Raw genomic sequence first — 26084 nt, forward strand, 5'->3', positions numbered from 1 at the left:
GGACAAACATTCAGACCCTCCCAGCAGTCTTCTGGAATTCTATGTGAGGGACAGACATTCAAACCCCAGCAGCAGTGTTCTGGAATCCGATGTGAGGGACAGACATTCAGACCCCAGCAGCAGTCTTCTGGAATCCTATGTGAGGGGCAAACTTTCAGACCCTCGTAGCAGTATTCTGGAGTCCTATGTGAAGGACAGACATTTAGACCCTCGAAGCAGTGTTCTGCAGTCTTAAGTGAGGGACAAAAATTCAGACCCTCGTAGCAGTGTTCTGGAATCCTTTTTGAGGGACAGATATTGAGACCCCAGTAGCAGTGGTCTGGAATCCTATGTGAGGGACAAACATTCACACCCCAGCAATAGTGTTCTGTAATCATATGTGAGGGACAAGCATTCAGACCCCAGAAGCAGTGTTCTGGAATCTTGTGTGAGGGACAAACATTGAGACCCTCGTAGCAGTGTTCTTGAATCCTACGTGAGACACAAACATTCGTACCACAGCAGAAGTGTTCTGGAATCCTATGTGAGGGACAACCATTCAGACCACAGCAGGAGTGTTCTGGAATCCTATGTGAGGGACAAATATTCAGACCCTCATAGCAGTGTTCTGGAATCCTTTGGGAGGGACAAACTTTCAGACCCCAGCAGGAGGGTTCTGGAATCCTGTGTGAGGGACCAACATTCAGACCCTCGTAGCAGTGTTCTGGAATGCTATGTGAAAGGCAACCATTCAGACCCTCATAGCAATGTTCTGGAATCCTATGTCAGGGACATTCAGACCCCAGCCGCGGTGTTCTGGAATCCTATGTGACAGAGAAACATTCAGACCACAGCAGGAGCTTTCTGGAATCCTATGTGATGGACAAACTTTCAGGCCATAGCAGTAGTGTTCTGCAATCCAATGTGAGGGACAAACATTCAGAGCCCAGCAGCAGTGTTCAGGAATCCTATGTGAGGGACCAACAATCAGACCCTCGTAGCAGTGTTCTGTAATCCTATGTGAGGGACAAACATTCAGAACCCAGCCGCAGTGTTCTGGAAATCTATGTGACAAACATTCCGACCACAGCAGCAGTGTTCTGGAATCCTATGTGTGGTACAAACTTTCAGACCACAGCAGGAGAGTTCTGGAATCCTATGTGAGGGACAAACTTTCAGACCCCAGGAGCAGTGTTCTGAAATCCTATGTTCAGGGCAAGCATTTACATCCCAGTGTGAATGTTCTCGAATCCTAGGTAAGGGACAAACATTCAGACCACAGCAGGAGTGTTCTCGAATCCTATGTGAGGAACAAACATTTAGACCAAAGCAGGAGTGTTCTGGAATACTATGTGAGGGACAAACATTCAGACCCTCTTGGCAGTGTTCTGGAGTCCTATGTGAGGGACAAACATTCAGACCCTCTTAGCAGTGTTCTGGAATCCTATGTGAGGGACAAATATTCAGAACACAGCAGGAGTGCTCTGGAATCCTATGTGAGGGACAAACATTCAGAACCTCGTAGCAGTGTCCTGGAATCTTATATGAGGGAGAGACATTTAGACCCTCGCAGCAGTGTTCTGGAATCCCATGTGAGGGGCAAACATTCAGACCACGGAAGCAGTGTTCTGGAATCCTATGTGAAGGACAAACATTAAGACTCTCGTAGCAGTGTCCTGGAATCATATGTGAGGGACAACCATTCAGACACCAGCAGAAGTGTTCTGGAATCCTAGGTGTGGGAAAAACATTCAGAACCTAGTAGCAGTGTTCTGGAATCCTATGTGAGGGACATATTCAGACCACGGCAGCAGTGTTCTAGAATGGTATGTGAAGGACAAACATTCAGACCCTTGTAGCAGTGTTCCAGAATTCTGTGTGAGGGACAAACATTCAGACCCCAAGAGCAGTGTTCTGAAATCCTATGTTAAGGGAAACATTGAGACCCCAGCATGAATGTTCTGGAATCCTATGTGAGGGACAAATATTCAGACCATGGCAGGAGTGTTCTGGAATCTTATGTGAGGAACAAACATTCAGACCACAGCAGGAGTGTTCTGGAATCCTATATGAGGGATAAGCATTCAGACCCTCGTAGCAGTGTTCTGGAATCCTATGTGAGGGAGAAGCATTCAGAGCACAGCAGGAGTGCTCTGGAATCCTATGTTAGGGACAAACATTCAGAACCTCATAACATTGTGCTGGAAACCTATGTGAGGGACAGACATTTAGACCCTAGCAGCAGTGTTCTGGAATCCCATGTGAGGGTCAAACATTCAGATCCTCGCAGCAGTGTTCTGGAATTCTATGTGAGTGACACACATTCAGACTCCAGCAGCAGTATTCTGTATTCCTATGTGAAGGACAAACATTCAGAATCCAGGAGCAGTGTTTTGAAATCATATGTTAAGGGCAAACATACAGACCCTAGCATCAATGTTCTAGAATCATATGTGAGGGACATACATTCAGACTCTCGCAGCAGTGTTCTGGAATCCTATGTGGGGGACAAACATTCAGACAATGGCAGCAGTGTTCTGGAATCCTATGTGAGGGACAAACACTCAGAGCCTTGTAGCAGTGTTCTGGAATCCTATGTGAGTGAGAGTGCCTGGAGCCTACCCAACCTGACGCCCCCAAAGCCCTCACAGGGTCTGACCTCCCAGCATGCACCTGCCTCTCTCTGAACCCCAACTGCCCACCCTGCCTGTTCCCTGGCCCCCTCCATCCTGTGCAGCCCATAGACTGTGACCATCTCTCCAGCCACTCTGGTCTTTCCTTTACCTTTGTCCTGTCAGAATCTCTGAGCAGGATCTCCCAAGTCCATCCAAACACGTGCTTTGTCCACTTTTGACTAGGCCCTTGGGCATCACTGGGCTATCCCAGCTGTCCACAGGGCCTTCAATAATGCACATTGCACCTGGCTTATCCAAGCAGTGCTCAGCAGCCCACATTGACCAGGTCCCTGCTGACCAGACCACGCACATCAGGTCCTCCCTGACAGCACCCTCACTGATTAGACCCTCATGACCAGGCCCCACTAACAAGGCCCCCACTGCCAGGCACACAATGACAAGGACTCCACTGACCAGGACCTTACTGACAAGGCCTCACTGACAAGGCCTCACGGACCAAGTCCTTACTGACAAGTCCTCACTGACTAGGTGATTATTGATAAGGCCTCACTGATCAGGTTCCACTGATCATGACCTCATTCCCTGGCCCCAAAGATGAGGCCCCACTGACCAGGCCTCCAGGGAACAGGTTGTCACTGATCAGGCCCCTAATAACCAGGCCTAAGGTCACCAGATGCCCCTGACTGGGACCCTAGTGAGTAGACCCCACTGAACCAGCACCAAATGCTGAGATCCCTGCTGACCAGGTCACCCTGTAGACCAGTGCTACAAAAGTCACCACTGACCAAGTCCTCTCTGACCAGGACGCTACGGATTAGGTCCCACTGACAAGGGCCTCACTGATGAGGACACACCCACCAGGGTCTGCTGACTAGGTCCCATGTGCCCAGTCCTCCACTGAATAGCACCCCTTGACCTGGTCACCAGTGCCCCAGCCCATGCTGACCAGACCAGCACTGAGCCCCAGCTGACCAGGTCTCCACTGATCAAGCCCCACAGCCCAGGTTTGCACTGACCAGACACCAAACAACTGGAAGCCAATAGGTCCCCACTCACCAAAACCCCCACTACTAGACCCCACTAATGAGACCCTCTCTAAGCAGACCTCTGCTGACCACGATCCCACTAAATAGTCCTCACTGACCTAGGTCCACTGACCAGGCCCACACTGATCAGGCCCCTCCTAACCACACCGGAAATCCAAGGGGCAATGACAAGTTTCATATGGCAAAAGTTGGAACAAGACAGAGAGAGGAAAGAGGTTCCACAGCCTTTTAAACTACTAGATCTCATGAGAACTCACTCACTATCAGGAGGATGGCATTAACGGCTTGCTGCTTTGCCATTTGTGAAGGATCCACTCCCACCCCTTTATGATTAAAGCTTTTTCCACCTAGGCCCCGACTCTAACATTAGGGAGTGTACTTTCACATGAGTTTTGGAAGGGGCATAGAGAAAAACCGTATTATTCTGTCCCTGACCCCACAAATCTCATGTCCTTCTCACACTGCAAAATACAGTCATGCCCTGCCAGCAGTCTCACAAAGTCTTAACTCATTTCAGCATTAACTCATAGTTACAAAGTCCAAAGTCTCATCTGGGTCAAGGCTACATTCTCTTTTGCCTACGAGTCTCTGAAATAAAAAGCAAGTTCACTGCGTCTAAGGTACAATGATGGTACAGGCATTTTGTAAGCTTTCCATATCCAAAAGGGAGACATTTTCCAGAAAGCTTCTTATTTTTATCTGAGGCCCTCTCAGCCTGGCCTTCACTGTCCATGTTTTTGTCAGCATTCTTGTCACAGCCATTTAACCAGTCTCTAAGATGGTCCAAAAATGCTCTCATCTATCTGTCTTCTTTGGAGCCCTCCAAACTCTTCCAACCTCTACCCATTACCGAGTTCCGAAGTTGCTTCCACATTTTCAGGTATCTTTATAGCAATGCTGCAGTCCTCATTTGCCATTTTTGGTAAGATTTATTTTGAAAAAGAGGTTTAATTGGCTCATGGTTCTGCAGAGTGGACAGGCAGCTTAGTGCTTCTGCTTCTGGGGGGCCTCAGAAATCTTTCAATCATTGTGCAAGGTAATGAAAGAGTGAATTGTCTCACATGGCAAGAGGAAATCACGGAGAGTAGGGAGTGATATAGAGTTTTCAGTGGCCAGATCTCACGAGAATTCACTCATAATTGTGAGGACAGTACCAAGGGGATGGTGCTGAACCACTCATGAGAAATTCGCCTTCATGATTCAATCACCTTATACGAGGATCCACCTCCAACATTAGGAAGCATAACTCAACATGAGATTTGGTGGGGACACATATTCGAATTGCCTCATCAGTCTTTGAGTATAAAGACATCCATAGCAGGCTTTATCCAGCCAACTTCTTTGGGATTCTTTATAGGGTTTCAGGTCTATAGCATATCCACTAAAATATCCCTACTTCAAAAGGCAATAAAGTAAGTGGTATTATCATTCTTCAAAAAGTTATAATGGTAGTGTAGGCATTCATAGTATGATTTAGTTCATTTGCCACTCTTTCTATTCTATCACCATATTAACCCTTTCCTACACAATTCTATATTCAGCTGGGTTTCAGTTGAGCACAAAGTCATCCTTGTACTACCACCGATAGCTGGCACTAGCTCTTTGATACTGTTATCATTCTGCTGTAGAAAGTACCCGTGAACTGGAAAAAGTCCACAATCGAATAGCTAGTCATTCAACACTATCAAATTTTAGGTGACTTTTTGAAAAAATAGTATCTCTTGTTGCAAGAAATGCTCCATCTGTGATTTCAAGTCTCTCACTCGAGTGAATTGGATGGAAGTGGTGAATTTCAGCCAAAGTGGCCAAAGAAATCCTGTTCCTGTGATAATGACACCATCAGCCTCTGCACCTCTGTCTTCCCTTCTGCCACATGTTGCCTGTTCTCCGTGACTTTGGTAAGAGCTTCCTTGTGTATGAGGATGATGTCCAGGATGTTGGTCTGGTGTCCCTGAGACAGCACTAACAGGTCCCTGGCTGGGTCCAGGTCCTTCCTGGACTGATTGGCAAGGAGCTTACTGATGTTCTTGAAGGCATCTCTGGTGAAGTGGATGGCCTAGTCAAGTTCCAAGGCCTGGCTGAGGCTGAAGAAAAACTGGCCATCTTCTGATGCTCTTTCTAAAAGCCTGTCACTGTCATCTGCTTGCTTGTCAACTCATTGGCTGTGAGGTTGAGCTGAGTGGCCTGTGTCCATCTTCTTGGGGAAGCATTTGAAGCCATCAGTCTTGCTCTCCCACCCCTAAAGGTTGATGGTCACCACCTGGGGTTGTACTGAGGGTCAGAAAGAAGCCGGCACTCACTATCTCATCCTTCTCAGCCTTCCTCTTGCACTCTCTCCAGGCTGTCTCTTCAGTGCTGGTGGGATACATCAGAAAGTGATGGAAGATGTGGCACTGTGCCCACACCCAGAAGCTGGCCATGTGGTTGGCTCATCCACCAGAATGGATGCTCTGGGTGCTCTTTGAGCCAGCTTGGCCTTGCCTGGCATGCACAGGCCCCAGGTACCGACATGTTGCTCCGAGTGAGCTTGTCCTGCTTTGGACCAAATTCTGTCAGGCCAGGGCCACAAAAGGCCGAGTCCCACGGGTGGTAATCCTGGCTGCTTTCTGCACTTCCACATAAAGACCTCCTGAAGATGGCCTGTGGTCTACCTCTTTGCAACCAAGAAGCCCGCAGTGCCATATGAACCCTCAGGCATGGACTGGAGCCCCCAAGGAAGCACACACCCTGCTCCTGAGTCTGCTGCTCATTTTCTCTGTGTGGCTCCATTTGTGTCACAGTTGTTGCACAGACTTGAGCATGCCGGGCAAGGCCAAGCTGGCTCAAAAAGTAACCAGCCACCTCTGCAAGGTTGTGCCAGGAGCCGGTGGACCGGCCACCAACGTCACTCGCTGCTGGTAAGGTTACATCAGTTCTTCTACCCTAGAGGTAGGGCCCCAGTGCCATATGCTTTTCCTCAGGCCTCTGCTCTATCAGTCATAGGCGGCAACCACACAGGCTGTGGGAACATGGCCATCCCTCCTTCCTTGAGTAGCTGAGGTTGCTGGCTTGTCTGCCTGCTACAGGCACAGCCTTGTAGAGGTGGCTAGTTGCTCTGAGCCAGCTTGGCCTTGTCTGACATGCATAGGCCCCAGGTACTGACACTCTGCTCCGAGTAAGCTTGTCCTGCCTTGGGTCAAATTCTAAATCTGGCCAGGGCCACAGAAGGCCCAGTCCCTTGGGTGCTAATCTTGGCTGCTTTCTGCACTTGAACATAAAGTCCTCCTCAAGACAGCCTGTGTTCTGCCTCTTGGCGACCAAGAAGCCTACAGTGCCATATGAGCCCTGAGGCATGGACTGGAGCCACAAAGGCAGTGCACGCCCCGTTCCTGAGCCTGCTGATCATTTCCTCTATATGGCTCCATTTGTAGCACACTTGTTGCAGTGAGGCTTGTGCATGCCAGGCAAGGCCAAGCTGGCTCAAAGAGCAAGCAGCCACCTCTGCAAGGGTGTGCCAGGCGCAGATGGTCCAGCCGCCAACCTCACTCACTGCCAGACGTGGTACATCAGTTCTTCTACCCTAAAGGTGGGGCCAAGAGGCAGACCACAGGCCGTCTTGAAGAGGACTTTATGTTCAAGTGCAGAAAGCAGGCAGGATTACCACCCTGGGTACTCGCCCTTCTGTGGCCCGCAGTGCCATATGAGCCCTGAGGCATGGACTGGTGCCATCTGCTTCATACAAAAATTAACTTAAGATGGATTAAAGAGTTAAATATGCCACCTGCTTTTCCTCAGGCCTCTGCTCCATCAGGCATCAGGTGGCAGCTACTCATGCTGTTGGAACCTGGCCATCCGGGCTTCCTTGAGCGGGTGAGGTTGCTGGCTTGTCCGCCTGCTACAGGCACAGCCTTGCAGAGGTGGCTGGTTGCTCTGAGCCAGCTTGGCCTTGCCTGGCATGCATAGGCCCCAGGTACTGACACTCTGCTCCGAGCCAGCTTGTCCTGCCTTGGGCCAAATTCTAAGTCTGGAGAGGACCACAGAAGGCAGAGTCCCCTGGATGGTAATCCTGACTACTTTCTGCACTTGAACATAAAGTCCTCCTCAAGACAGCCTGTGGTCTGCAGCTAGGCAACCAAGAAACCCGCAGTGCCATAGGAGCCCTGAGGCATCGACTGGAGCCCCAAAGGCAGGGCACACCCTGCTTCTGAGCCTGCTGCTCGTTTCGGCTATGTGGCTCCATTTGTTGCACAGTTATTACACTGAGGCTTGGGCATGCTGGGCAAACTCCAAGCCACTTAGAATTTGGTCCAAGGCAGAACAAGTTCACTGGGAGCAGCGTGTCGGTACCTGGGGCCTATGCATGCCAGGCAAGGCCAAGCTGCCTTAAAGAGCAAACAGCCTCCTCTGCAAGGGTGTGCCAGGAGCCGGTGGACCCACCACCAACCTCACTCACTACCGGTCAGGGTACATCAGTTCTTCTACCCTAGAGGTAGGGCCCAACTGCCATCTGCTTTTCCTCAGGCCTCTGCTTGATCAGCCATCAGGCGGTGGCCACTCATGCTGTGGGAACCTGGCCATCCCTGCTTCCTTGTGTAGCTGAAGTTGCTGGCTGCTCCACCTCATCCAGGAGCACCCTTGCAGTGGTGGCTGGTTGCTCTTTGAGCCAGCTTAGCCTTGCCTAGCATGTACAGGCCCCAGCTACTGACACACTACTCCGAGTGAGCTGGTCCTACTTTGAGCCAAATTCTAAGTCTGGCCGGGGCCACAGAAGGCCGAGTCCCCTGGGTGGTAAACCTGGCTGCTTTCTGCCCTTGAACATAAAGTCCTCCTCGGCTGGTCTATGGTCTACCTCTTGGCAACCAAGAATCCTGCAGTCCCATACAAGCCCTGAGGCATGGACTGGAGCCCCAAAGGCAGTGCACACCCTGCTTCTGAGCTTGCTGCTCATTTCCTCTGTGTGGCTCCATTTTTAGCAAAGTTGTTGCATTGAGGCTTGTGTATGCCGGGCAAGGCCAAGCTGGCTCAAAAAGCAACCAGCCGCGTTTGCAAGGGTGTGCCTGAAGTGATTGGACTAGCCATCAACGTCGCCCACTCAAGGAAGCAGGGAATGCTTGTTTGTACCATGCATTTCACTACAGGTCATTTCCCCTGAGGTTGGTGGCCTAGGTTTTCTTCTAGATTTTTTATGGTTTTAGGTCTTACTTCTAACTCTTTCATCCATCTTACTTAATTTTTGTTTAAGGTGTGTGGTTGTGGCCCAGTTTCAGTTTTCTGCATTTGGCTAGCCAGTTTTCCCAACACCATTTATTAAATAGGGTATCCTTTCCCATTGCTTGTTTTTGTCAGGTTTGTCAAAGATCAGATGCTTTTAGATGTGTGGTGTCATTTCTGAGGGCTCTGTTCTGTTCCATTGGTCTATAGATCTGATTTGTTACCAGCCCCATGCTGTTTTGGTTACTGTAGCCTTGTAGAATAATTTGAAGTCAGGTACTGTGATGCCTCTAGCTTTGCTGTTTTTGCTTAGGATTGTCTTGGCTATGTGGGCTCTTTTTTGGTTCCATATGAAATTTAAAGTAGTTTTTCTAATTCTGTGAAGAAAGTAATGGTAACTTGATGGGGACAGCAATGAGTCTATAAATTACTTTGGGTGGTATAGCAGTCAGGCACAGAAATGTCCTTGTGTTAGGCAATACCATTCAGGACATAGCCATGGGAAGAGTCTTCATCACTAGAACACCAAAAGCAATGGCTACAAAAACCAAAATTTACAAATGGGATCTAACTAAACTTAAGAGTATCTGCAGCGCAAAAGAAACTATTATCAGAGTGAACAGGCAACCCACAGAATGGGAGAACATTGTTGCAATCTATCCATCTGACAAAGGGCTAATATGCAGAATCTACAAAGAACAAATTTACAAGAAAAAAAAACCATCAAAAAGTGAGCAAAGGGTATGAACAGACACTTACCAAAGAAGACATTTATACAGCCAACGAACATGTGAAGCAAAGCACATCATCACTGGTCATTAGAGAAATGGAAATCAAAACCACAATGAGATACAATCTCAGACCACTTAGAATGGTCATCGTTAAAAAATCAGGAAAGAACAGATGCTAGAGAGGATGTGGAGAAATAGGAAAGCTTTTACACAGTTGGTGGGAATATAAATTACTTCAACCATTGTGGAAGACAGTGTGACAATTCCTCAAGGATCTGCAACCAGAAATATCATTTGACCCAGCAATCCCATTACTGGGTATATACCCCTAAAATTATAAATCATACTAATATAAAGACACATGCACCTGTCTGTTTATTGTGGCACTGTTCACAACAGCAAAGACTTGGAACCAACCCAAATGCCCACCAATGATAGACTGGATAAAGAAAATGTGGCATATATACACCACGAAATACTATGCAGCCATAAAAAGGGATGAATTCACGTCATTTGCTGGGACATGAACGAAGCTGGAAACCATCATTTTCAGCTAACTAACAGAAGAACAGAAAACCAAACACCACATGTTCTCATTCATAACTGGGAGTTGAACAATGGGAACACATGGACACAGGAAGGGGAACATCACACACTAGGGCCTGTCAGGGTGGGGGGCTAGGAGAGGGATGGCATTAGGAGAAATAACTAATGTAGATCATGGGTTGATGGATGCAGCAAGCCACCATGGCATGTGTATACCTATGTAACCTGCATGTTCTGCACATGTACCCCAGAACTTAAAGTACAATTAAAAAAAAAAGAAATTTGCTTTTAATTAAGCTTTTAATCATAGAACTTGTGAAGAAAATCCTTTTGAATCTTTTATTACCACATCATAGCTGGGACAAACTGCTGACGCTTTAAAAGTAACACAAATATCAAACAGGAAGAACTAGACTTAGGAACCAAACTCAGGTTTCTGTAGTGAACAGGGCACAATCTTCACATTGGGTCACCACCACTACTCCTTCAGTTTAGCCTTGACTAGCAAAAGGGTGGCCTTGTTATGTAGATGAGACCACTTATGTAAAAAAAAAAAAGTTTTAAAAAATAATTTCTGCTAACTGGAATGTTTTTTGTTGTTGTTTATTTGTTTGTTTGTTTGTTTGCAGCCATAGGAGTTTTAGCCAATTCAGAGGGCTTGCTCCCCACAATTTGGAAAATTCCTTTGGATTTGACCAAGTCAGGAAGAGAAGGGAGAAAAGTGAAACAACAACAATAAAGCCCCAAGCATAAACAAACAAAAAGAGTTAAGCAAAACAACAAATGCACAATTCATATGATTACTGAGTGTTCTAATGGTAAGGAGAAACTAAAAGCAGAAATTAAAAGCAGCTGGTGAGTAATCTTAAATTTTAGTCATTAAGGAAAAATTTTAAGACAAAACTCTAATTCAGCTACTTACCTGGAAACAAGGCTCAGGCTGGTGATCGTTCTCTGCCATGTTAGAAGCTGGAAACAACTTACACTCACCTTCCCTGTCAGAAGCAAGCTGAAACTCAGGAAAGGAGGTGCCTGCTCTCCATCACCACAGAAGCAGGAAAACTTGCCTTCCTTGTTGGAAATGAGTAAAACTTCAGAAAAGGAGTTGTACAGAAAAATCAAACTTAGATCTCAACCAGATTTTGGGAGATCAGGGACTCTTTGCAGGGGAGAAGCTCCACAACCTCAGCAAATTATCCTGTTGGTTTGGGCAATAAAGATAGCCCAGGTTGGTATCAATCAATAATGAGATTTATCAAAGGTCAGGACCACCTTTGTAATGACCTTCTCTGTCTTTTTTTATCTTTATTGGTATATACGTTTTGTCGAAACTGGGAGTGTAACACCTGATTTCTTCTGTTTTCCATTTGCTTGAAAGATTTTTCACCATTCCTTCATTTTGAGCCTATGTATGGCACTGCATGTGAGATGGGTTTCTTGGAGACAGCATACTCAAATGGGTCTTGGTTCTTTATCCAGCTTGCCCCCTGTGTCTTTCAATCGGAGCATTTAGCCCATTTCCATTTAAGGTTAGTAATGGTATGTGTGGATTAGATCCTGTCGTCATGCTGTCAGCTAGTTATTTTGCAGACTTGTGTATGTGGTTGGTTTTTAGCATTACTGGTCTGTGTACTTCGGTGCATTTTTGTAGTGGCTGGTGATGGTCTTTTCTTTCCATATTTAGTGCCTCATTCAGGAGCTCTTGTAAGGTAGATCTGGTGATAATGAATTCTCTCAGCATTTGCTTGTCTGAAAAGGATCTTGTTTCTCCTTCACTTATGATGCTTAATTTTGCTGGACATGAAATTCTGGGTTGAAATTTCTTTTTCTTTTAACCATTTATAATAACACCATGTTATTATATGGTATATCTGTCTCTGCCATACTACGTGAAATTTCTTTTCTTTAAGAAGTTGAATATCTTTTCTGGCTTGTAGGGTTTCAGCTGAGAAGTCTGCTAAGTCTGATGGAATTCCCTTTGCAGGTGACGTTGCCTTTCTCCCTAGCTGCCTTTAACATTATTTCTTTCATTTTGACCTTGGAGAATCTGATGATTATATGTCTTGGGGATGATCTTCTCGCGGCTTATCTTACTGAGGTTCTCTGGATTTCCTGAATTGGAATGTTGGCCTGTCTGGATAGGTTGGGGATATTCTCATGAATGATATTCTGAAGTATGTTTTCCAAGTTGGTTCCATTCTCCTCATCTCTTTCACGTACACTAATCAGTCATAGATTTGGTCGTTTATATAATCTCATATTTCTTGGATGTTTTGTTCATTCATTTTCCTTCTTTTTTCCCCCATTCTTGTCTGCCTGTTTTATTTCAGAAAGCCAGTTTTCAAGCTCTGGGATTCTTTCCTCTGCTTGGTCTATTCTGCTGGGTGGTCTTGCACATGAGATGGAGCTGGTTTGACCTCAGCCCTCCTTAGTCTGCTTGCCTCTCCCAGGACCCCAGCCTGGCCACACCTGCTTACAGGGCAATCTCAGGTGCCCACACACACTACAATAATTTTCATAATGCAATCACACATAATCACTATGTGACTGCATTATGAAAATTCTTGTAGTGTGCTTTTCAGCTCTATTAGGTCGGTTGTGTCTTCTTTATACTTGCTATTTTGTCTGTTAGCTCCTACAATGTGTTACAATGATTTTTAGCTCACTTGTATTGCATGACAACATACGTCTTTCACTCAGTGAACTTTGTTCCTACGCATATCCTGAACCCTGCTTGTATCATTCCAGACATCTCAGCCTCAGCCCAGTTCTGAACACTTGCTGGAGAGTTGATACAGTCATTTGGAGGAAAGAAAGCATGCTGACTTTTGGAGTTTTCAGTGTTCTCGCACAGATTCTTTCTCATCTTTATGGGCTTATCCACCTTCCATCTTTGAGGTTGCTGACCTTCGGACAGGGTATTTTTGTTTTATTGTATTTGATGATCTTGAGGGTTTCATTGTGGGATAAGGTGGATTCAACCAACTGGCTTTGTTTTTGGAGGATTTTAGGGGGGCCAATGTGCAGCTTCCAATTCCTGGACTGTGTGCTTTAACTCTGGGGAACTTGTCTTGGGTCCCAACTTTGTTCTCTGGCTCTTGGAGGTTTGGAGTCCACTGCACTGAGGGGACAAAAGTGTGGCAACTGTGGCAGAATGCTAGTGGATGCAAAAGTCCCTGCCTCCCTGCGGGCGTTCACCCAGTGGTGGAGGCAAGACAGCTGGGGTGTGGGCCAGGGGTCCCCTGCTGTGTGTGTGTTGCACTGGAGGTAGTGTTGGTTCAGGGTGGGCTGCTGGCCAGTACAGGCCATGGTGCCTTCTCTGTGCCCCTCAAAGCAACAGTGGTCACTCAGGGTATAAGAAGGTCCCTTTTTCTCTGCACAGCATTAGCTCAAGGGTTAGGTGCTGGCAGGGGTGGGGTTCTTGGTTCTGTGCCCACCAAGGCTCTGTCTTCAATGGCAGTTGGTGTGGGTTGGGGTGTGTCCTGCACTCCCCTGTGCTGTCAGGGCAAGTACAGCAAAACCCACATGTGGAAACACACACAGCAAAGTGATGTAGGAAGTTTCCATATAAAGGGCTGCAGTATGGAGAGGTAATGTGCAGGCTGGTGCGTGGCTGTTGGGGCCACCTTGCTGCAGCTCTCCACTGATCAGGTACAGTCCACTAGCACGGAAGCTATGCTGTGGGCATCCGAGAGTGCCCTGTATGCAGATGTGGCCAGGCTGGGGTCCTGGGAGAGGCAAGCAGACAAAGGAGTGCTGATATCAGACCAGCCCCATCTCATGTGCAAGACTGCCCAGCAGAGATCAGGTCTCAGAGGAGAACTCTCTCAAAAGTGAACCCCCGGCACAGCATAGCTGCTTTACACAAACATGGTCAGGCTTCTTTTTTAAGCAAGTCCCCTTTTTGAGGAGGGGAACTCTGGGACCTGGTCTCTGCTGGGCAATCCTGAACATGAGATGGGGCTGATCTGAACTTAGCATTCCTAAAGTGCTGGGATAAAGTGTCTCACAAGGGCACGTGGAGCCTAGAGAGATAGCTGTCCCTGCCCTCTGGGCTCCACATCACCTGACTTGCTGCTCCACCACTCTGCTTGTCTCCTGGGTGCTCCATCCCATAGAGATGTGAGTTAGCAATCACTTAGCGTAATCAGCCCAGGATGGAGGGTCTGTGTTCTGAGGCCAAGCCAGTGTTCCCTCTCTGGTGATGAGCAGTGGGGGGTGTGTGGTACCCGTGGGAGATGGACTGGCTTGTTCATTGGGTCAACCGCAGCTTATTGGAGGTGTCAATATGGCACTTAGGGTCTTTGCTCCCTTGATATTCTGAGGGTAGCAAGGGCAGTTTCACTGCGGAGGCAATGACAGAGAGAATTTCGTTTGCTCCTGGAAGCTCTGTCCAGGGAATTGCTGAGTTGCTACTGGCTGGATAGTTCCAATGGTGGACTGGCTGGAGACCCAGGTCAGTAGGACCTGCCCATCAAGTAGACTGTCTGGCCACTTTTCTGTCAGGCTGCTGTGGTATGCTGGGGGTCCCCTCCAGTCCCTAACTGCCTTGTATTTTCCAGGGAAGATGATAGCCTGCCCCTTCCTCTGGGAGCTCTGTGCCACTGAGGTACGAACTTGTTGCCAGTATGAACGCACCTATAAGATGTGACTGGAGACAAGTTGAGAAGTCTTATCTAGTCAGGAGGAACAAAAACAGGCACTGAGTTAAAAAAAAAAAAGTCTGGGCACGTTTTTCTAGAGCAGCTGTGCTATGCTGGGTGTTCACTTCCGCTCCTGGTTGCCTCAGACACTCTGAAGCCCTAATGCTGAAATGGCTGAGTTGCCCCAACAGCAAAGACAACAGTCTGGTCCTCCCCCTGGGAGCTCTGACTCAGGGAGGCCTGAAACCTCTGTCGGCCAGAGAACAGCAGTGAAGGCAGCTGGAGACCTTGGTTGAAAGGCTTCACCTGCTGATTAGAAATGTGGTCGGGGACTGACTTAAACAAGAGTCTGGCCACGTTTTCGTAGTGTGGCCGTGCTCCGCTGAGGTTCCTCTTCCACCCCTTGTCACCTTGGGCTTTCCAAAGCCCGCAAACCAGAACGGCTAGTCACCCAAACAGCAAAGGTGGTGGCCTACCCCTCTCTCTGGGAGCTCTGTCCCATGAACACTTCAAATTTCTATTGGCCAAGGAATGCTGGTGGCGGTAGCTGGAGGCCCCATTTGGGAGGTCCTGTACAATGATGTGCAACAGGGTCGGGGGCCTGCTTACAGAAGCATTCTGGCCATGATTTGGTAAAGCAGCTATGCTGTGCTGTGGGATCTCTTCTGCCCCTTGTCGGTTTATACTCTCCAAAGCCCTCAGGCTGGAATGACTAAGTTGCCTGAACAGGAAAGATGGCGGCCTGCCCCATCTATTCTCTCAGAGTTCATCTTGTTTGATGGAGTTTAATTTTTAGCCTGTTAATTTTACTGTCTACATTAGACTTGTTCGGAAAGAATCTGCTATATTTTAGGTTAGATATATGAGAATTCATTGTTTACTGTAAATAAACCTGTTCATGTCTTGTTCTCTGGAAAGAAATCTCTTTCAACTATCTGACGTTGGTCACAGTCATGTAGAGCAGTAGCCAGTCTATAATGACATAATTGAATTTCCATTTCCAGTGTTTTGTTTTTGGGTCTTACATTGTACAGTTCAGAAATGAGCATTTTATTCCCAATTGTCAAAATGCTAAGCTGTCCACTGTACTGAAATACTGTTTTTGTTAATGCTTCGTCATTCAATTTTTTTTAAGGTGAACACTTTTATCCAACTTTTCTCAAGTCAGAGTACAGGTAAGCCCTGGCTGCCTCGAGCCACTCTCAGGGAGACCAAAACCCTTCATACATTCCAAGTTGGGATACAAAAAAGTGGGGCCATGAAGGCTAGTCATTCAAAATAAAACAAAATTTAAAAGTATTAAGGCAAAGATTTAAAAAAATTTGCATTACGTAATTTACACAAAAGCAATGCTATCGCCTACCATGTGTGAACTCGGGAGAGGACTGGGCCATTCTCCTTAGAGAGAAGTAGGGTGGCTTTTAGGAGGGCAAGGGGCTTCCTGAAACAGTGCATCTCACAATATTTGGAATGACTATTGAAAAGAAGAACATTGTACAATCAAAGTCCTTGGCAACATTGTAGAACTAGCGGGTGCTGACCCCTGAGCCACAGCCACAGTTCTGGGTTTGGGGTTTGGTAAAACCACCCCAAGGACAGAGTTCTGGGGCCAGGTTTTGGAGGAACCAAGGCGCCTCTCAGGGATGGTGTGTCACTCCTGCTTGCCATGAAATGTGCACACAGGCTGTCCCCCTGCCCATCCCATCCTGCTGGACAGGATGGAGGAACTGAGGGAACAGGCAGGGTGGACAGCTGGAATTCAGGGAGAGGCAGGTGCATGCTGGGAGGTCAGGACCTGTGAGGGCTGTGGGGGCATCAGGTGGAGTTGGCTCCATGTGCACCCTCAGTGCACAGGGCAGGTCTCAGGCCAGGCTCCCTGGACCCCGGCTGGGTGATGTGGTCACTCCCTGGGGGACTGCTCTCAGACCCTGGCCACCCTCCCTGGGCAGCGCCGTCCCATCCCAGAACTGGACTTTCTGAGTCCTAAAACAGGACAGTGCTGCCCAGGCCTGACAGACTGGGAGGACCTGTGAAGTCCTCCATCCCTAGACCAGCCTCCCAACAGCAGGGACAGTCTCCTACCTTTACCTTCAGGGCACTGACTGATACATCTCATTCTAAGGCAACCAAGGCAGACCTGAGGACCTGTGCCAGGCTGGGAGCCAGTCCTCTCCCTAAATGGGCCTTAGGGAAGCCTCATGCCTGTCCCAATGCACTGCAAGTTTCAGCCCAGGAGACACATAGGGAAGTGAGGACGGGGCCTCCCCACTGGCTGACCCTGGAAAAGCGGGACCAGGGAGAAGAGGGAGTGCAGGGCTGGCAGGGGATGCTCCAGGCCCATGGAGAGCTCAGGCTGCACCAAGGGGCTTCCCCTCCTGGGCTGGAGGCTGTGCCCTCTGCAGTATCTGAGGAAGTCCAGTCCTGAGATGGGACAGTGCTACCCAGAGTGGGTGGCCAGCACCTGACAACAGTCTCCCAGCAAGTGACCACATCACCCAGCCAAGGTCCAGGGAGCCTGGGCCAAGACCTGCCCAGTGCGCTGAGGGTGCACCTGGAGCCCACACCACCTGACGCCCCCACAACCCTCATAGGGTCTGACCTCCCAGCATGCACCTGCCTCTCCCTGAAACCAAGCTGCCCACCCTGCCTGTTCCCTGGCCTCCTCCATCCTGTGCAGACCATAGACTGTGACTATCTCTCCCACCACTCTGGCCCTTCCTTTACCTTTGTCCTGTCAGAATCTCTGAGCAAGATCTCCTAGGTCCATCCAAACACCTGCTTTGTCCACTTTTGACTGGGCCATTGAACACCACTGGGCCACCCCAGCTGTCCACAGGTTCCTCGATAACATGCATTTCCCCTGACATCTCCCAGCAGTACTCAGCAGCCCCCACTGACCAGGTCCCTGGTGACAAGTTCCAGCATATCACTTCCTCCCTGACCACACCCTCACTGATTAGAGCCCCATCACCAGGCCTCACTAACTAGATTCCCGCTGCCAGGCCCACAATGTCCAGGACTCCACTGACGAGGACCTTACTGACAAGGCCTCACTGACGAGGTCCTTACTGACAAGGCCTCACTGATCAGGTTCCACCGATCATGACCCCATTGTCTGGTCCCACAGACGAAGCCCCACTGACCAGGCCTGCAGGGAATAGGCAGCCAGTGACCAGGCCCCTGCTAACCAGGACTGAGGTGACAAGATGCCCCTGACTGGGGCCCTAATGACTACGCCCCACTGAACAGGCACGCACTGCTCAGATCCCCGCTGACCAGGTCACCCCGTAGACCAGTGCTACAAAAGCCACCAATGATCAAGTCCTCTCTGACCAGGCCCCCACTGATTAAGTTCCACGGACCAGCCTGCCCTGACCAGGGCCCCACTGACAAGCGTCTCTGCTGACTAGGTCCCAAGGTCTCCACTGACCAAGTCCCACAGCCCAGGTTGGCACTGACCAGACACCAAACATTTGTCTACCACTATCAACCCACTCAACAAGACATGCACTACTAGATCCCTCTAATGAGACCCGCTCTAAGCAGACCCCTGCTGACCACCCCCCACTAAATAGGCCTCACTGACAAGTCCCAACTGACTAGGTCCCCTGAGCAGGCCCACACTGATCAGGCCCCTCCTAACCATATCAGAAGACCAAGAGGCAATGAGATGTTTCATATGGCAGGAGTAGGAGAAAGACAGAGAGGGGAAAGAGGTGTGACATCCTGTTAGACAACCAGATCACATGAGAACTCACTATCAGGAGATCAGCATCAAGAAGACTAACCAATGGTGAAGGATTCTCCAACCACACCACTGGCCACTGCTTCCAGGCAGAAGCCTCCTGCAGAGGCAGAACCTCTTATGAAACTTCCACTATGGCAGTGCAGAAGGAAAATATAGGCTTTGAGCCCCCACACAAGAGGCCATGATCCTCCAGACTCCAGATTAATAAGCCCACCAACAGCTCACATTCTGAGTATGGAAAAGCTACAGGCACTCAACACCAACCCAGCCCATGAGAGCAGCCATGGGGGCTACACCCTGCAAAGCCACAGGTGCACTCTCCTAGTAGAGGTTTCCCATGAGCCTCTGCCTCTGCAGCAGGTTGCTCCCACCCTCCCACCACCCTACTGACAACCTACTCCTCCCCACACTATCCCTCCTTTTCCTTCCACCCCAACCCCCTCCCATCCAAGATTAAGTCACCTCCCACCTGGCCCACCTCCAACATTAAGGATGACACGTGAGTTTTATAGGGACACACAGCCAACCCATATTATTCTGACCCTGATTCCCCAGAACCTCATGTCCTTCTCACAGAGCAAAACACAATCATGCCTTTTCAAAAGTTTCCAAAAGTCTTAACTCATTCCGAATGTAAAAATTTCAAAATCTCATCTGAGACAAGGTTACAGTTCCTTCTGCCAATGAGTCCCTGAATTTAAAAGGGATTTCTTTTCCTTCAAGGTAGAACAGGCATTGGGTAAGGTTTCTCAATCCAAAGGGAAGAAGTTGCTCAGAAAAATAACACAAATGCAAGTCCAAAACCCAGCAGGACAGTATTCACTCAATCTCACAGCTCCAAAATCATCAAGAGAACTCACTGTCGTGCGGACAGCATTAAGGAGATAGTGTTTACTCATTTGTGAAGAATCTGCCCCCCACCTTCACCTTTCACTCCCACCCACAAAATAATCTCTCCCATTCTCCCCACACCCCTACCTCCAACACCCACTCTTCTCCATGATTAAATCACCTCCCACCAGGTCCCACCTTTAACATTCCCCACTACAATTCCACATGAGCATTGGTAGGGACACAGAATCAAATCATATTATTCTGGCTCTTGCTCCCCAAATCTTGTATCCTTGTCACACTGCAAAATACACTGATGACTTCTCTACTGTCCCCCAATGACTTAACTCATTCCAGCATTTACTGAAATGTACAAGGACTTACAGACCCCATGCAAGTCAAAAACCCAGCAGGCCAGTCATTGAATCCTGCAGCTCCAAATCATCTTTTCTGAATCTACATCTCACATCTAGAGCACAGGTGTGTGATGCCTGGGCTTCCAAGGCCTTGGGCAGCTCTGCGCCTGTGGCTGTGCAGGGTCTATACCCCACAGCTGCCCTCATGGGCTGGGCTGATGTTGAGTGCCTGTAGCATTTCCATACTAAGGGTGCCAGCTGTTGGTGAGTCTATGAATCTGGAGTCTGGAGAATGGTGCCTCCATATTTAGGGACTCCAGCCCTAAATTCTCCTTCTGTACTGCCCTAGTAAAAGTTTCCCATGAGGCTCTGCCTCTTGGAAAAGATTCTGTGTGAACACCCAGTTTTTCCGTACATACTCTGGAGTCTAGACAAAGGCTTGCAAGCGTCTAGTTTTGTGCTGTGTGCAGCTGCTGGCTTAACACTATGTGGAAGCCACCAAGCCTTGAAGCTTGCACCCCTGAAGCAGTGATGCAAGGTGTACCTGTGCATCTTTCAGCCAAGGCTGGAGCTGGAGCTTCAGGAATGCAGCCAGCAGTGTCCTGAGGTTGGACATAGCAGCGGGGCCATGGGGCTGGAGAAGGAAACCATTCTTTTCTCCCAGGCCTCAGGGCCTGTGATAGCAAGGGCTGCTGCAAAAGTCTCTGAAATGCCTTCAAGACCTTTTTAACATTGTATTGGCTATTAGCACTGAACTCCTTTTTATGCACATTTCTGAAGACTTTTTTAACTTTCCCACTGATAATCAGCTTTTCTTTTTGGCCACTTGGCCAGGCTTCAAATTATCCAAACTTTTAAGCTCTCCTTCTCATTTAAATACAAGTTTCACCTTGAGGTCATTTCTTTGGTCACATATAGGACCACAGGCTGTTCGACACAGACAGGAAACCTCTTAAGCTTTGCTGCCTAAAATTTCATTCCACCAAATACACTCTAAATTATCACCCTGATGTTCAAAATTTCACAGGTCTCCAGGTTAGGGGCATCATGCAGCAACATTCTTTGCTAAGGAAAAAACAAAAGTGACCTTGACTCCTGTTCCCAGCAAGCTCCTCATTTTCATGTGAGACATTCTAAGCCTGGTGATCACTGTCCATCCTTCTGTCACCTTTTTAATTATAACTATTTAACAAGTCTCTACACTGTTCCACACTTTTCCTCATCTTCCTGTCTTCTTCCAAGACCTCCAAACTCTCCAACCTCTGGCCATTACACACTTCTCAACCTGCTTCTACATTTTCAGCTACGTTTGTCACAGCCTGGCAATGTGGTAAAAGAAGAAAAGTCCATTTCAGGAGAAAAATTAATGCAGGCTTCAGACATTTGCCTGAAAAGAAGCTGAGTGCTGATTGCCAAGAGAATAGGAAAAAGGCCTTGAAGGCATTTCATAGTTCCACTTTATAGCATTATTTTTCTGTATAATCAGAAAGAAAAGAGGTTGAACTGGCTCATGGTTCTACAAGCTTTAAATAAATCATAGAGGCTTCTGCTTCTGGGAGGACTCAGGAAGCCTCCCAATCATACCAGAAGACCAAGCAGCAATGGGATGTTTTATATGGCAGAAGTAGAAACAAAACAGAGAGGAAAAAGGTGCCACACGTTGTATAACCCTGTTATACAACCAGATTTCCTGAGAACTCACTATCACAAGGTCAGTATCAAGAAGATGTTGCTTAACCATTGGTGAAAGTTCTGCCCCCTACCACCCACACCCCTCACTGTTTCCAGGCAGAAGCCTGAGGAAGAGGCAGAGCCACTAGGAAAACCTCTAATAGGGCAGAGCAGAAAAAGTATATGGGCTTGGAGGCCCCACACAGGAGGTTACCATCCTCAGACCCCAGATTCATAGACTCACCAACAGCTTGCACTCTCAGTATGGAAAAGCTACAGGCACTCAAGCAACAGCCCAGCCTATGAGGGCAGCCATGGGGGCTACACCCTGCAAAGCCATAGGTGCCCTGCCCTGGTGGAGGTTTTCCTTGAGGCTTTGCCTCTGCAGCAGGCTACTCCCCCTTACTACTGCCCATGAAACTCTCACCACCCTACTGCCAGCCTACTCCTCCCCATCCTACGCATTTGTTTTCCCTTCCACCGCTACCAACCTCCCCTTTGTGATTAAATCACCTCCCACCAGGCCCAACCTATAACTGTCAGGAATACAATTCCCCATGAGTTTTTGTAGGGAAACACAGCCAAACCATATTATCCTGACCCTGACACCCCCACATCTCATGTCCTTCTCACACAGAAAAATACAAACATGCCTTTTCAAAAGTTTCAAAAAGTCTTAACTCATTCCAGCAGTAACTCAAATGTAGTAAGTTCAAGTCTCATCCAAGACAAGGCTGCAATCCCTTCTGCCTATGACTCCCTGAATGTAAAAGACAATTCTTTTCTTTCAAGTTACAATGATGGCACAGGCATTGGGTAGGCTTTCTTAAACCAAAGGGAAGGTTATCCCAGAAAAATAACACAAATGGGACACAGGCCCAATCCGACTCCAAAACCCAGCAGGACAGCATTCATTTATCACGAGAACTCACTATCACACAGACTGCATTAAGGAGATAGTATTTAACCATTTGTGAAGGATCTGCCACCCATCCCCATGTTTCACCCTCACCCACACCATGAACCTCCATTCTCCCACATCCCCCTTCCAACCCCCATTCTCTACCATGATTAAATCACCTTCTACGAAGCCCCACACTTAACATTCCCCATTATAATTCCACATGAGTTTTGGTAGGGACACAGAGCCAAATCGTATTATTCTCCCTTTGGCCCCCCAATCTCACATCCTTCTCATACTGCAAAATACAATGATGCATTCTCTACAGTCCCCCAATGTCTGAACTCATTCCAGCATTTACTCAAATGTCCATTTGTGAAGGATCTACCCCCTACCCCTGCCTTTCACCCCCAACCCCACCACAATCGCCCCCAACCCTCCCCACCCCTTAATCCCCCCAACCCTCCCCACCCCCAACCATCTAACCTCCACCCTTCACCATGATTAACTCACCTTCCACCAGCCCCCACCTTTAACATTTCCCATTAAAATTCTACATGAGTTTTGGTAGAGACACAGAGCCAAAACATATTATTCTGTCCCTGGTCCCCCAAAGTTCATGTCTTTCTCACATTGCAAAATGCAATGAGGCCTTCCCTAGAGTCCCCCAAATCTTAACTCATCCCAGCATTTACTCAAATGTCCAAAGGCCAAAGTCTCCTCTGAGACAAGGCTGCCATATTTTCTGCCCTGAGCCTCTGAAATACAAAGCAAGTTAACCACTTCCAAGTTACAATGATTGTACAGGCATTGGGTAAGCATTCCAAGCCAAAAAGTAGAAATTTCCCAGAAAGAAGCACAAAACACAGATGGGACTTACAAACCCCCTGCAAGTCAAAAACCCAGCAGGCCAGGCATTCCATCATACAGCTCCAAATCATCTTTTTGGAATCTATGTCCACATCCAGAGCACAGGGTTTTGTGATGGCTGGGATCCCAAGGCCTTGGGCAGCTCTGCACATGTGGCATTGCAGAATCTTCCCCCTACAGCTGCCCTCATTGGCTAGGCTGGTGTTGAGTGCCTGTAGCTTTTCAACACTAAGGGTGCAAGCAGCTGGTGGGTCTATGATACTGGGGTCTGGAAAATGGTGCCTCCCTGTATGGGGACTCCAACCCTATACTTTCCTTTTCTACTGCCCGAGTAGAGGTTTACCATGAGGCTCTCCCTCTTGGAAAAGCTTCTGGTTAGACACTCAGGATTTCTGATATATCCTCTGGAGTCCAGACCAAGGCTCTGAAGCTTCTAGTCCTGTGCTTTATGCACCTGCTGGCTTAACACTATGTAGAAGCCACCAAGGCTTGGAGCTTGCATCCTCTGAAACAGTGACGCAAGCTGTACCTGTGCATCTTTCATCCATGGCTGGAGCTGGAAAAGGAGCTGCAGGGATGCAGGCAGCAGTGTCCTGAGGCTGCACACAGCAGTGGAGCCATGGGGCTGGGCCAGGAAACTATTCTTTTCTCCTAAACCCCAGGGCCAGTGACAGCAAGGGCTGCTACAAAGGTCTCTGAAACGCCTTCAAGGCCTTTTTCCCATTGTCTTGAATTATTAGCACGGGGCTCCTTTTTATGCAAATATCCGAAGGCTTCTTGATTTTCCCCCTGAAAGTCAGCTTTTCTTTTTGACCATTTGTCCAGATTACAAATTTTCCAAATGTTGAAGCTCTGCTTCTCATTTAAATATAAGTTCCAACTTATGGTAATTTCTTTCATCACACATAGGAGCACAGGCTTTTCGACGTAGGCCGGACAACTCTTCAGCTTTGCTGCTTAGAAGTTCATTCCACCAGATACACCCTAAATCATCACCCTAAAGTTCAGTTTCACAGATCTCCAGGGAATGGTCACTGTGTAGCCAATTACTTTGCTAAGGCAAAAGAAAAAACCCTTGGCTCCTTTTCCCAGTAAGTTTCTCATTTTCATCTGAGACCTTACAAGCCTGGCCTTCAGTGTCCATCCTTCTGTCAGCCTTTTAATCATAACTATTTAACAAGTCTCTGCAATGGTCCAAACTTTCCCTCATCTTGTTATCTTCTTCCAAGCTCTCCAAACTCTCTAACCTCTGGCCATTACCCAATTTGGAACCTGCTTCTACACTGTCATCTATCTTTGTTGCAGCCTGGCGATATGGTAAAAGAAGAAAAGTCTATTATCAGGGGAAACATCAAGATGGCTTCCAATATTTGCATTGAAAAAAGCTCAGCGCTAATAGCCAAGAGAATGGGGGAAGCGCCTAGAAGTCATTTCATAACTTCACTTCACAGCATTAATTTTCTGTATCTACATAAAGAAAAGAGGTCTAATTGACTCACAGTTCTTCAGGCTGTAAAGAAAGCATAGTGGTTTCTGCTTGTAGGAGGACTCAGAAAGCCTCCCAATTATACCAGAAGGCCAAGCGGCAATGAAATATTTCATATGGCAGGAGTAGAAGCAAGACAGAGAGAGGAAAGAGGTGAGACATCCTGTTATACAACTATATCTCATGAGAGCTCACTATCAGGAGATCAGCATCAAGAAAATTGTGCTTAACTGTTGGTGAAGGATCCGCCCACCTCCCCATATCCACCACCCACTGTTTCCAAGCAGAAGCCTGAGGCAGAGACAGATCCCCTTGAAAAACCTCTACTAGGGCAGTACAGAAGGAAAATATGGGCTTGGAGCCCCCATGCCACCATCCTCCAGACCCAAGAGTCATGGACCCACCAACAGCTCACACCCCCAGTATGGAAAAGCTTCAGGTACTCAACACCAGCCCAGCCCATGAGAGCAGCAGCAGGTGCTAAACCCTGCAAAGCCACAGGTGCAAAACCACAGGTGCACTGCCTTAGTAGAGGTTTTCCATGAGCCTCTGCCTCTGTGGCAGGCTACTCCCTTCCTGCTACACACCACCCTACAGCCAGCCTACTCCTCCCCACCTTACCCACCTGTTTTTACTTCCAACCCCACCCCTCTCCCATCCATGAATAAATCACCTCTCACCAGTCCCCACCTGCAACATTCGGGATTACAATTACATGTGAGTTTAGGTAGGGACACACAGCTAAACCATATTATTCTGACCCTGATCCCCCAAATATCATATCCTTCTCACAGAGTAAAATACAATCATGCCTTTTCAAAAGTTGCCAAAAGTCTTAAGTCATTTCAGCATTAACTCGAATGTAAAAAGTTCCACGTCTCACCTGAGAAAAGGCTACAGTCCCTTTTGCATACAAGTCCCTGAATTTAAAAGGGAGTTCTTTTCTTTCAAGGTACAATGATGGTACAGGCATTGGGTAAGTTTTCTCCATCCAAAGGGTAGAGGTTTGCCAGGAAAATAACACAAATGGGATCACAGGGCCAATGCAAGTCCAAAACCCAGGAGACCAGTATCCATTAAATCTCACAGCTCCAAAACCATCACGAGAACTCACCATCATGAGGAAAGGATTAAGGAGATGGTGTTTAACTATTTGTGAGGGATCATCCCCCCACCCCCACTTTTCACCCCTCACCCCCAGCATAATCCACCCATCCTCCCCAGTCTCCACCTTCCAACACCCAGTGCCCTCCATGATTAAATCACCTTCCACCTGGCCCCAATTTTAACATTTCTGATTACAATTCCACATGAGTTTCCATAGCGACACACAGCCGAATCTTATTATTCTGTCCCTGCCTCCCCAAATCTCATGTCCTTCTCATTTTGCAAAATACAGTGATGCCTTACTTACAATTCCCCAAGCCACTATGCTTTTTTTTTACAGCCT

At 47.8% G+C, this 26084-nt stretch overlaps 1 pseudogene, besides 3 other annotated features; it reads right to left on the reverse strand.

Moving 5' to 3' along the window:
• On the reverse strand, positions 5149–6102 carry SNX18P15 (sorting nexin 18 pseudogene 15; annotated as a pseudogene).
• Positions 5738–6239: an enhancer, noted in NCBI's record as "H3K4me1 hESC enhancer chr1:142660399-142660900 (GRCh37/hg19 assembly coordinates)". NCBI's record gives its function as "activates a minimal SCP1, AML or CMV promoter by ChIP-STARR-seq in naive H9 embryonic stem cells {active_cell/tissue: H9 hESC(naive)}" and the evidence as "EXISTENCE:reporter gene assay evidence [ECO:0000049][PMID:30033119]".
• Positions 6240–6739: an enhancer, noted in NCBI's record as "H3K4me1 hESC enhancer chr1:142660901-142661400 (GRCh37/hg19 assembly coordinates)". NCBI's record gives its function as "activates a minimal SCP1, AML or CMV promoter by ChIP-STARR-seq in naive H9 embryonic stem cells {active_cell/tissue: H9 hESC(naive)}" and the evidence as "EXISTENCE:reporter gene assay evidence [ECO:0000049][PMID:30033119]".
• Positions 8402–8901: an enhancer, noted in NCBI's record as "H3K4me1 hESC enhancer chr1:142663063-142663562 (GRCh37/hg19 assembly coordinates)". NCBI's record gives its function as "activates a minimal SCP1, AML or CMV promoter by ChIP-STARR-seq in primed H9 embryonic stem cells {active_cell/tissue: H9 hESC(primed)}" and the evidence as "EXISTENCE:reporter gene assay evidence [ECO:0000049][PMID:30033119]".

Source organism: Homo sapiens (genome assembly GCF_000001405.40).
Source record: "Homo sapiens chromosome 4 unlocalized genomic scaffold, GRCh38.p14 Primary Assembly HSCHR4_RANDOM_CTG4".
Lineage (NCBI taxonomy): Eukaryota > Metazoa > Chordata > Mammalia > Primates > Hominidae > Homo > Homo sapiens.